This window comes from Homo sapiens, chromosome 16 (assembly GCF_000001405.40).
Source record: "Homo sapiens chromosome 16, GRCh38.p14 Primary Assembly".
Taxonomy (NCBI): domain Eukaryota; kingdom Metazoa; phylum Chordata; class Mammalia; order Primates; family Hominidae; genus Homo; species Homo sapiens.
In genome coordinates, this window is record NC_000016.10 from 82,443,578 (window position 1) to 82,455,888 (window position 12,311).

Sequence of the window (12,311 nt, forward strand, 5' to 3'; positions counted from 1 at the left end):
AGGAAGCTGAGCTGGGAGGATTGCTTGTGCCTGGGAGGTCAAGGCTGCAGTGAACCACGATCACGCCCCTTGACTCCAGCCTGCGCAACCAAATGAGATGCTGCCTCAAAAAGAGAAGAAGAAAAAGGAATGCTCTTCTAAAAGAGATGACACAGGCAAATATTAGCCACATACACTTGAACATGGGAAAAATTAAAACTGAGACAACACCACCCTGGACCAGGTACCCCACATTTTGTTTTTCTCCCTCCTCTGTCACTAATCAACTAGATGGTCTCAGGTGAGCCCCGTCCCCTCTCTGAGGCTCAGTTTTCTCATCTGTGAGATGAGGGGTTGTGCATATGGACTTCCCAGTTCTGTCATCCTAAACTCTGTGATTCCACTTGATCAGTGTGAATTCTTCCTTGAAACCTTTCCATGACAGGAATGGCTTTGGGGAATGCACTGGAGAATGGTGTTGTTTCTTAGGAAAGTTACCTGGTGGAGGCGGTGTAGTAATTTTAGTTTCCTTTGTGGGGACCACTTCTGCTGTAATCTTTATGTATGTTATGGGTAGGGTTGAATCCACCACCTCAGCTCCAAGGACCAATCCATCCTCTTTGTCATGGTGATAAGTTCACGCATAGGCATGTGACCCAAGTGGTTCAATGGGATTCACTCCTGAAAGTCTTGTTGGAAACTATTAGAAAAGAGTCATTGTCTTTTCTTCAGTATTGGTACACTGGTACGCATAGAGTTGGTAATGGCCATCCTTGACATAACATGGAGAGTATGTCCAAGAAATGAGGCTGATAGACACACGCATAGTTACAGAGAGACAGAAGCATGCAGAAACAGAGAGATATTATACTGATGACATTGTTGAGTGCCTTGATCCTGGCCTTTCCTTTTGGGCTTAACAGTAACAAGAGTCACTAAATATCCTTTCTGCTCAAACCATTTTGACTTAGGATTCTGTTATCTGCAAATGAATGATGCCTGCCTAACAGGGGTGATGTTTCCATTGCAATGTTGGGAGAAGAATTTGCTTCCCTCTAGATGCCATGAATAGAGGCTTAGAAATGAGAGAAGGGAGTATAATCTCAGACAGCAGAGGGTAGCATGGGAATGGGAAAGGGAAAGACCCTACAATGTGCTGAGCAGTGTGCTGCACGTTTCATTTTTTTTCCACATTTAACTCCATAACCCTATGAGAAATGTGTTATTTTCATTATGCCCATTTTTCAGAGAAGGAAACTGGAGATAGAACAGATTAAGGACTTGCCTGAGGTCACACAATCGGTGGCAGAGCAGAGATTTATAACCAGACTCATGGTCTCCTGAGCTTCAGCTCTTGACCACTGAAGTATAGTTCCATGGTGATTTTTCCCCCTAATTTCCTGCCTAGCTTGCCACCTAGCTGAAGTGGGGCTGTAATGTGAATCAAGGCCTCCTGGACTCCCATACATGTGTAAGAGAGATGGAGGAGAAGTACAGACAGGGGAGATCTCTAAGTGGACAAGTCCTGTGGCTAAAACAAAATCCTGGAAGGTGACTACCCTCCACACCCCACCCCACCCAAGCCAGAAAGGAAAAGATTATCCAAAGATAATTAATTTTTTAAATAGATACTTTTTTGCAAATTTAACAGAATTGTGATCTATCCATGCAGTTTTAAACTGTCAAATGATTTAGCCATAAATTTCGAAATGAGAATATATAGCGTATAACCACATCAACTTTTTATGAAACATATTGAAATTTATTAGTTATCAATGCAGTGTGTTTCAGCATATCTTTTTGGGAAATCAAATATATCATTTTAATATTTTCTTCCACATGCAGTATACATTAACTCACAGGATGCTGAGGCTGCCTCTGAGAATTTCTGTCATTTCCTTCTTGTCCTTTTTTCCTTCTCTCCTTCATCTGCTGTGCGTTTATCTTTATGTGCTCCCTTCCATTTGACTGTACAGAAAAGCTCTATGAAGGGAATCTGGTTATAAACCTCAGCCCTGCCTCCTATTGTGTGACCTCAGGCAAGTCCTTAATCTGTTTCTTCTCCAGTTTCCTTCTCTGAAAAATGGGCATAATAAAATTAGTACCTTTCTCATATGGATAGGAAATTAAATGTAAAATATGATAAACTGCACATTAGCTGTTTTATTTTTTATTTTATGGTGCCTTGTACATAGTAGGTGCTCAATAAATTCTGTTAAGTTAATGCATTATAAAATATTTCAGTTTATCTCATTATAAATAATAACCAAGGATAAGTAATTTTAAAACTAACCTTATAAATTGAAGTTAATATACATCTTGACAATTGCATAATTTCTAAGTGTACAGCTGGATAAATTATCACATATTAAATGCACCCATGTAATGACCACTCAGATCAAGAAATAAACCGTTACTAGCTTTCCAGTAGCCCTGACTTTTGTTTCCCCCAGTTCACTACAATTTTGACTTCTACTTCATTCATCAATTTTGCTTGTTTTTGGACTTAATATAAATGGACCCATACAGTGTATATTCTTTCATGTCAAGCTTTTTAAAAAGGTAACATCATTTTTTGAAACTTATTTATATAATTTATTATAGCAGTAATTCATTCCTTTTTATTGCTGTATGGAATTCTATTTGATGATACACCACAATTTACTCATTCATTCTATTGATGGACATTTGGGTTGTTTAAAGGGCTTTTTTTCTACCAGAATATGCGACTATGAACATTTTTGTTTCTTGCTAAACAATCCCATCAAAAAGTGAGCTAATGACCTGAATAGACAACTCTTAAAAGAAGATATACAAATGAACAACAAACATATGAAAAAATGCTCAACATCACTAATGATCAGGGACGTGCAGGTTAAAAACCACAATGTGATACCACCTTATTCCCACAAGAATGGCCATCATCAAAAAATCAAAAAATAATAGATGGTGTGGATGCAGTGAAAAGGGAACACTTCTACACTGCTGGTAGGAGTGTAAGCTAGTACAACCACTATGGAAAACAGTGTGGAGATTCCTTAAACTAAAAGTAGGACTACCATTTGATCCAGCAATTCCACTACTGGGTATCTACCCAGAGGAAAAGAAGTCATTATAAGAAAAAGATACTTGCTCACACATGTTTATAGCAGCACAATTCACGATTGCAAAAATGTGGATCTAGCCCAAATATCAATGAGTGTATAAAGAAACTGTGATGTATATATATACCACATTATATATATACATATATATACACCACATTTTTATATATATATATATATATACACATATATATATGTATATATATATATAATGGAATATTACTTACCCATAAAAAGGAATGAATTAATGGCATTTGCAGCACCTGGATGGGATTGGAGACTATTATTCCAAGTCCAAGTGGAGTTAACTCAGAAATGGAAAACCAAACATCATATGTTCTTACTTATAAGTGGGGGCTAGTCTATAAGGAGGCAGAGGCATAAGGATGATACAATGGACCTTGGGGACCCAGAGGGAAAGGGTGGGTAGTGAGTGAGGGATAAAAGACTAGAAAGTGGGTTCAGTGTATAGTACTCAGGTGATGGGTGCACCAAAATCTCACAAATCACCACTAAAGAACTTACTCATGTAACCAAATACCACCTGTTTCCCAAAAACCTACGGAAATAAAAAATTTAAAGAAAAAGAACATTTTTATACATGTTTATTGGGATACATAGGCATGCGTTTTTTGGGCTTATGTCTAGGAGTAGAATTTTTGGTTCACTGGCCATGCACATTTTCAATGTGGGTAGATATTGCCAAATAGTTTTTGAAGTAGTTATGCCAATTCATATTGTCAATGCTCCACATTGGAAGACCACTAGGAATACATTTGTAGTGGAAAATGAACAAATTTAGGTTCATTAATTCATTTCAACAAGGGAGAGCACACACGAAGGGGATGGTGAGACGTCTCAAGAAAAGGGTGTTGGGAAGAATTAGGAGATTTGGGCTTCTGTTAGGTGGTTTTGGGAGGGTTCAAGGAAACTGGACTTTGATCTTACTTGGATACTCTCAGGAAGCCAGGTTAATTCTGTGACTGGATGGCTTAATCATTTTTATCCAGAAAGCAGGAAGAATGGAATGAGGCTAAACTGGAATTTGAAGAGAAGTAGCATTGACTTACATAAGCCAACATATTAATTTCCTGTGGCTGCTGTAGCAAAGTACTGCAAACTGGGTGGCTTAAAAGAGCAGAAATTTAGTTTATTTTCTCGCAGTTCTGCAGACTAAAAGTCTGAAATTAAGGTGTTGGTAGGGCTAATTCCATTTTGGAAGCACTGAAGGAGAATTAATTCCATGCCCTTCTCCTAGCTTCTAGTGATGGCTGGCAATCCTTGGCTCTCCCTGGCTTGTAGGTGCATTGCTCCAATCTCTTCCCCTATTGTCCTATGATGTGCTCTCTGTGTCTGTATCTCTAGTCAATTTCTTATAAGGACAATAGCCGTACTGGATTAGGTCCCACACTAATGACCTCCTCTTAACTTGATTGCATCTGCAAAAACACCCTATTTTCAAATAAGGGCACATGAACAGGCACTGGTGATTAAGACATTGACTTATTTCTTGAAGGGATAGGATTCAACCCATAATAGCTGAAATACAGTGTGTTTGGTTGCTTTTGTAGCTTGAACACTGTTCTTAATTTTGTCTGTGTTCAGATGTGATTATGGAGGGGTCTCATTGTGTGGTGTAACAGGAAATATGTTCAATGGGAGAATACTATAGCCTAGCTTCCCGTTTTTGGGGTGACTTTTCTCTTTCTCAGTAGCCTCCACTCTTGGTATTGTCAAGCTTGTTAATTTCAGTCATTCTGGTCAGTGTGAATTGACATCTTATTGTAGCTGTAATTTGCATTTCCTTGATGACATTGAGATTGAGCACCTTTTAGGATTCTGGGGGCTGTTTGGATATGCTTTTTTACAAAGTGTTTGTTCAAGTCTATTGCCATTTCTTTATTAGGCTGCCTGCCCTTTTCTTATTGAATTTCTAGAGCTTTTAATATATTCCGAATACAAGTTGTTAGGTATATCGTATTGGTAATATCTTCTGCTAAACCATGCCTTGTCTTTCTATCTGTTTACGTGAACCAGAGGGATGAGAACATTCCATCAATGGTATGTTTTTACTTTCTTTCATCCATGTATCAGGTATTGTATAGACACAGGCATAGGCCATGAGTTCAGCTTACCATGAACTCCCTGACCTCAACTCCTGCTTCTCTCCCCATGTCCACCCTGCTCCAGCCGTGCTTACTGCTGCCTTTGCCTGGAATGTTCTTTCCTTAGATAATCTCATAGCTTGCACACCTCCCTAACTCTTCTTTTTTTTTTTTTTTTTTTTTTTTTCTGAGACGGAGTTTCGCTCTGTCGCCCAGGCTGGAGTGCAGTGGCGCGATCTCGACTCACTGCAAGCTCCGCCTCCCGGGTTCACGCCATTCTCCTGCCTCAGCCTCCCGTGTAGCTGGGACTACAGGCGCGCGCCACCATGCCCGGCTAATTTTTTTTTTTTTTGTATTTTTAGTAGAGACGGGGTTTCACCGTGTTAGCCAGGATGGTCTCGATCTCCTGACCTCGTGATCCGCCCGTCTCGGCCTCCCAAAGTGCTGGGATTACAGGCGTGAGCCACCGCGCCCGGCCCCTAACTCTTCTTAATGAGGACTTCCAGTGCCACATTTTAATAATTGCATGCTCCATGCCTTACTTATTCCTAGAAATCTGTCTATCTTCCCTGCCTTTCCTCATATCATTCCTTGCCATCTGACATATGACAAGTATTTGTGTACTATCTATCTCCTCCAGAGAGAATGTGAGCTCTGTTAGGACAGGTTTTGTTTGTTTGGTTGGTTGGTTTCCTGCTGTATGTCTAGTACTTAGAACAATGCCTGCATATAGGAGCCGACCAGTGAATATCTATTGAATAAACAAATGAATGAAGGAAGGAATGAATGATTGAAATGAACAGGTAGGGGTGGAACCATGCTGCTCATATGTTGCTGATCTAATGTGGGACTCACAGTCCAATAGAGAGTTTATAGAAACTAGTTGGTGGCTCTTGTGTGATATTCACCATGCGTCCGGTGACAATAGGATTATACTCTGAGATTTAAGTTTTAAAATTAACATATAATGGATCTTAACAACTGTAAGAGAAGAGATAGCTCCCAGGCTGCAAATCACCTCAGCAAACTGAGATCAAATGAATAAGCATATCTAATGAAAAACATGTTGGTCAAAGGAATTTTAATCTGTTCATGAAAGCAAAGTGAAAGGAGAATCTTGGAGGCAATTTTTGGCAATATCCACCCAGACTCTGTCCAGGAGAAAGGGGCATTGCCAGCCAACTTGGAGGATTCTGGACCCATTGGCAAGGGCATCCCTCCTGGAGCTGGTTGAAGGCAGTAAGGTCAGTTGGCTTTGGTCCCTTGGTGAAGCCATCTTCAGAGTGTGTTTGCTGCATTAGGTTATCTTGTGCGATGCTCCTACAAGTCCAATGCCTTGTAATTCCACTAAGCTTTCAGGTAAAATAGGTTTGGGCCTCCTTATAAGTCAGGGTCTGGGAAGAGAGTCAACTCATTGGGAGAACTTCCAAAAGTTTCTATGCCAGTCATTTATCATTTTATGTTAATAAAATTGATATTGAAGTTTTATAACAAGTCTCATGAGGTCGGGTAATGTGATTCCACAACTAAGAAAAGGAGTAGATCTTGGTGTGCTGGAAAAGTCAGCTTTCAGAACCTCTAAGATTGAGGGCTCAGCCCCTGGGGCTAGTAAAACCATCAGAGGAATGAATTCCACTTCATGAGAACTTTTGACACATAGACTACCAGTTTCTTGGTGGTTGACCTGCACTTGCACTGCGGAGCCTATGGCCATGTTTCCAGAAATTTCCTTTGTATGGAACATCTGATTTTTACCTGTACTCTCATAAGACTTCCTTGCTGGTGAGCTGACGTTAATTTAAGAATTTTAGCTCTTTCAGTCTTAGGTATCATCAGGCATGTCACACTTTCTGTACATTTGCCTTTTGTAGCTAGGGAAGCTGTAAAATGTTTAGGCCTTAGGTCTACTGAAGACTAACCAATGACCCAATGTAATATTTTTAATTTGTCCCTTGACAACTTTATGTTGAGATTTCTAATTTCCTTATCAGATACAAGGCCACAGTAAAAACATCACCTGTTAGGTCAAGTCTAAACTGGAATCTATGTCATCAAGCTGCCGTATTTAATTACCAATGTCCATAGGCGTTGTGGTTCCTGATTCTATTCCTCTTACACCCTCTTGAAATCAGCTCCATGCTGGGGGTTTCTCATACTACACAGCTGGGAATTCTAGGATTTTTTTTTTCTTGCCTTCTGTATATTTCTACATAGCAAGCTGTGGTCAAGACATCTTGCTATGTGGCCAAGATGGGGAAAAGGGACTGAGATAGACAAGTACTGCAATATTTGGGTAGTGAGAACCATCACATACTGCAATTTTTGGGTGATGAGAACCCAGCAATGCACTTAATAGACTGCTGAGGGGAGGTAAAGGCCTTGCTCAATCAACTTAATGGGAGAACTGAACATCCAAAGATTGTAACTACCATTTGGGGACTTCTTAACACTTGACTTCATTAAAATTGTTCAGTAAGAAGACTGATGTTGCCACCATGTTTATACATACAGTTTTTAAGGCAGGCATAGAGAGGGTTACATTTTGTTTAATAGTCTCTTTAGAAAACAAAGAGGTAGTGTATCATTTAGAATGCATGCAGCTGCCAGTAACAAAATACCCAAGTAATAGTGGGTTAAATAATAAAGGTAGTTAAATATATACCATAACAAGAAGTTGGTTTCACAGTTCAGGGAGGTAGGAGGGGAATTCATCATCTCTAAGATTATTTTTTGGCCTTTACTTCATGGGGATCAATGGTTGTCACAGCTTCAAGCATCGAGTCCTGCATCCCAAGCAGAAAGGCAGGAAAACAAAAAGACTTTCTTTCTGAGGCACTATTGTTTCCTTATCATGAGGAAGCTTCCCAGCAGGCTTCTCCCCGTGTCTCAGTGGACAGAGTTTGGTTGCGTGCCCACTTCTAGGCCAATTGATGGGAAAGTAGGAAGGAGTTACTGCAGTGGTTTAGGTCATCTTGAAGCTGTGAAGAGGTCTGATGCCTTCCCTGGGATGACATGATACCTGCTCTCTACTTCAGCAATATGGGGTATATACTAGCTGGGGGAGTGAAAATAAAAATGTCTTCCACATGTATATTTTAATCAATTGTATGAACAGTTTTTTTAAAATTAGCTTTAAATGTGTAGAGATAAGTGTTAAATAAATTCCTCACTGGAAGGAGAGGGAGGAGTGGGTGAGTTTGATGCTGGGATGGGCAGGTATGCAGGTATCCAGGTAGAAGCTTGGCATCAATTTACCTGTCTCTAGGAAGTTCCTATCCTGTTTCCTCCGGTTAGCCTGTATCTGGGATATAAAAATCTGCTGAAACATCAGCCTCCGTGAACCACACAGCATGACTTGTTACATGTCACAGATGACTGCCCCTTGCTGGCCACCAAACTTGAACCATTCCGTGCAGCCGCTGCCTGTTGTTTCCTGTTATGTTGTTGAGGTAGCACTGCCAAGTTCTAAACACATGCCCTGACTCCACCCAGAGTGGCACCTGCACACAAAAGCAATGCCCAGGGAGTGCCAGGCCGAAATAATTTCTGCAGAGTTAAACTGGAGCATTAAGTGGCAAGTGGAATTTGACAGAGGGGAGGAGCAACCCCACTTTCTGTAAGAACATGAAAAAAAAAACCCACAGTTATTAAATAAGCTGGGGAAAGAACAAAATTACACAGGGATGAAGAAAAGTCTTTGCTTAGCGTGGCTGAAAAATACCGACCTCACAGATGGGGTAGGGTTGCGCTGGAGGTAGAGCAATGTCAGCAATAAAGAGAGAGAATAAAGGAAGGAAGTCACGGCCAGCTTGCAAAAAGTTGTCTCTGTTGTCTGTTCTGTGAAACCGCTTGCCAACAACACCGTTAAAATGTAGGTGTTGGTGTGAAGATCCAACAAGGTACATTCTCTGAGTCTGGAGCCACTTCTAAAGGAGCTAAATAAAAATGAAGCAATTAATTGAGACACATTGTATAAAAGAAATCAGTGTAATACCAGATGGAAGGAGTCATGTCTGCAATCTTAGTGGAAAGAGCATTATTTATCGAGCATTGACCTTCTAGTGTGAGCACAATGCATTCATTATCTCATTTAATTCTTACGATTACCAGCTGAGGCAGGTGCTTTCATTATCTCCATTTGACAGATCAGGAGGATTGTAGCTTAAAAGGCTTAACTCGTAAGTGGAAAGGTCAATATGTAGACCGAAGCTTTCTGAATCCAAAATCTGTGTTCCTAACCTCTATTCTGTACTGCTGGCCAAAATTAAAAATACTGAAGTGTGATACAAGGAAATTATAACTCTGATTGGATGAACTGAATACTAGGGTTTGTCTGTTCTTCAGAAGTAAGATGATGGTGTGGATTTAGGAATACGTATTATGGACTCTATTGTAAGTGACAGATTCCCGCCCTAACGTGGCTCTAAAAAAAAAAGGAGGACATGGACTCCTGTGGTCAGCTGAATAAAGGCACCCCAAAATGTCCACATCCTAATCCCCAGAACCCATGAATATCCACATCCTCATCCCCAGAATCCATGAATATCCACATCCTAATACCTGAAACCCATGAATACGTTGCCTTTTATGGCAGAAGGGGCTTTGTAGATCTGATTAAGTCAAAGATCCTGAAATGGCAGAGATGATCCTGGAATATCTGGGTGGTCTCAACATAAAGAAAAGGATCCTTATAAAGGAAACAGAGAGGTTTGGTTACAGAAGTAGGAGACAGGAGGATGGAAGCAAGAGTTTGGAGCAGTGTTAGGAAGGGCCCCGAGCCGAAGAATGTAGGTGGCCTCTAGAAGCTGGAAAAGGCAAAGCAACAGCTTTTGCCCTAGAGCTTTCAGAAGGAACACAGCCCTGCCAACATCTTGATTTTGGACTTCTGACCTCCAGAACTGTAAGAGGATACATTTGTGTTGTTTTAGGCTATCCTTACCGTTATCGTGGTAATTTTTTACGCCAGCAAAAGAGAACTAATACAACTCCTGTACCTGAAAAGCCTAGGGCAGCAATGGCTTCAGGCTTGGCTGGGTCTAGGAGCTCTAATGGGGTGGCCTTGATGCTGTCCCTCCTCATGCCTTAACTGCTTTCTTTTGCAATGGCCGTATTCACTGATGGGCTTTCGCTGGGTTGTGGCCAAGCTGAAAACAGTAGCCTCAGGCTTTTGCCTCACCACTGGAGCAATCCCAGTAGCGCAAACTGCACCCCTTTCCTAGTAATGTCTGCAAATGTCCCAGGGCTGACCTGCATGGGCCGAGCTTGTGCCCTGAATGATCACCATGATTCTGATTGGCCAGGTCTCATCATTGTGTCTCAAGGTAAGCGGGGGATCAGCCCTACCTGAACCTCAGTGACTCTTAAGGTAGAATGGTGCTTTGCAAAGGAAAATCCAGCTGGGCATGCAAAAACAGCAGATGCCTACCAGAGGGTGTGAGGCAGGAGCACTGAGACTTGGATTCTTGCAGGTTCTAAGGGAAGCCAGAGAGACAGAATAGAGGTTTCTGTCTCACCAGCAGAGACAGTGAACAAAACCAAAAAACCGTTCCCCTCCATCCTTTTGTGGTTCCTAAGTGTGATGATTGGGTTTTCATACTCATGTGTGAAATGTACCTCCCTCAAGCCTTGTTATGATGTGGCGGGCACATTACCCTTACCCATCTGATGAAAAGAAAAGGAAAAACAAAAACTTGGAAATCAGTTATAGGCAGCGGTTATGGGGTGAATTCAAGGTCTTGTTGCGATCTGATGGAGAAAGACAGGTGTGAAAAGGACAGGAAAATAAAAAGGAAGGATCCCTTGCTTGCTGGATGGGAGAAACAAGAGGACCATGAGAATGATCCCTTTGGATAAATGTGACCTGATGACACCTCCAGACCCTGAGCTCCTTCCTGGGGTAGGCCTGGCTGTTTGCCGAGAACAGACTCTGCAGAGCAGTCTTTGCACCCCAGCGGAGCTCAGTCTGCTCTGTGAGTCTCTGCATACTACTGGAAACCCCGACGGAGAGTCCCAGCCTTTGGAATTCCCTCACTGAGGCCGAGATTGAGCAGTGCTCACCTTCTAGGCCACCACCCTTCACCCTTGACATTCACCTTCAAAAGTGAGCTAAGAGGCAGATGATATGGCGGCACTGTGGCAGGTACACCCCAGAGCCAGTCCATCTAGAGTATTGTTCCATGTAGCTCACAGAGGGAGCCTCAAGTTTCTACTTCTTTTATTCTTGCCCCCAAGTAAGGGCATCTCTGTTTTGGTGCTTATAACTGAACAGGATGGACACTTTGGCCCCCGGTTCTAAAACCCAGTCGCGTTTTCCTGATCCTTTAGAAGTATGAGTCAGATCATGCCATCCTGTGTTCACAGATATCTGATAGTTCTTTAGTCCTCTGAGTCAAGGCCAAGTCCTAATAAGGTTTACTTCATCTCACATCAGGGTGCCCTCTGTTGACTGACACCCTCACCTGTTAGTCTTACCTTCAGGTGATACACAACAGCCACCCTGGTCTTATTTATTTAATTTATTGTCTGTCTGTTCCTGCTTCCTACTATCAGACAACCTTTGTGAGGCCAGGAATTTTTGTCTGTCTTTCTTATTGCCATGTTCTAAGCATCTAGAGGAATACCTGCATGTGTTAGGTGCTCAGTAAGCATAGACTGAGTTGAGGTGATGAATTAACTCAGGCATGTGTGCATGCATGCATTTCACCATCACTTACCAAGTGTGTGCAAAGCACCAGCTAATGAACTAGAAGCTGCATTCAGCAAGACAAACTCCACATGGTCTCTGCTCTTGAATAGCTCCTGCTCTAGAGGAGAGAATGGCAATCCCATGTGATAATTACTAAAAGGTTGGATAAGCCCAGGGTACTCAGGGGACATGGGGAAGACAGGAGCGCACCAGGGCCAAGATTCCTTCCTGCTTCTGTATACATAATTGCATCTCAAGCCTCTCTCAAGCCTTGTTTTGATGTGGCAGGCACATTACCCTTACCCATCTGATGAAAAGAAAAGGAAAAACAAAAACTTGGAAATCAATTACAGGCAGCGGTTATGGGGAATCTAACACGTAATTGCGATTTTATTGTTTATGTCCCGTTAGAACCATCTCTAGGTGTACACGCTCCCT

At 41.7% G+C, this 12,311-nt stretch overlaps 1 pseudogene; it reads left to right on the top strand.

Moving 5' to 3' along the window:
* Positions 1–10,742: 10,742 nt before the first annotated feature.
* On the top strand, positions 10,743–10,855 carry LOC124903788 (uncharacterized; annotated as a pseudogene).
* The last annotated feature ends 1,456 nt before the right edge of the window (positions 10,856–12,311 follow it).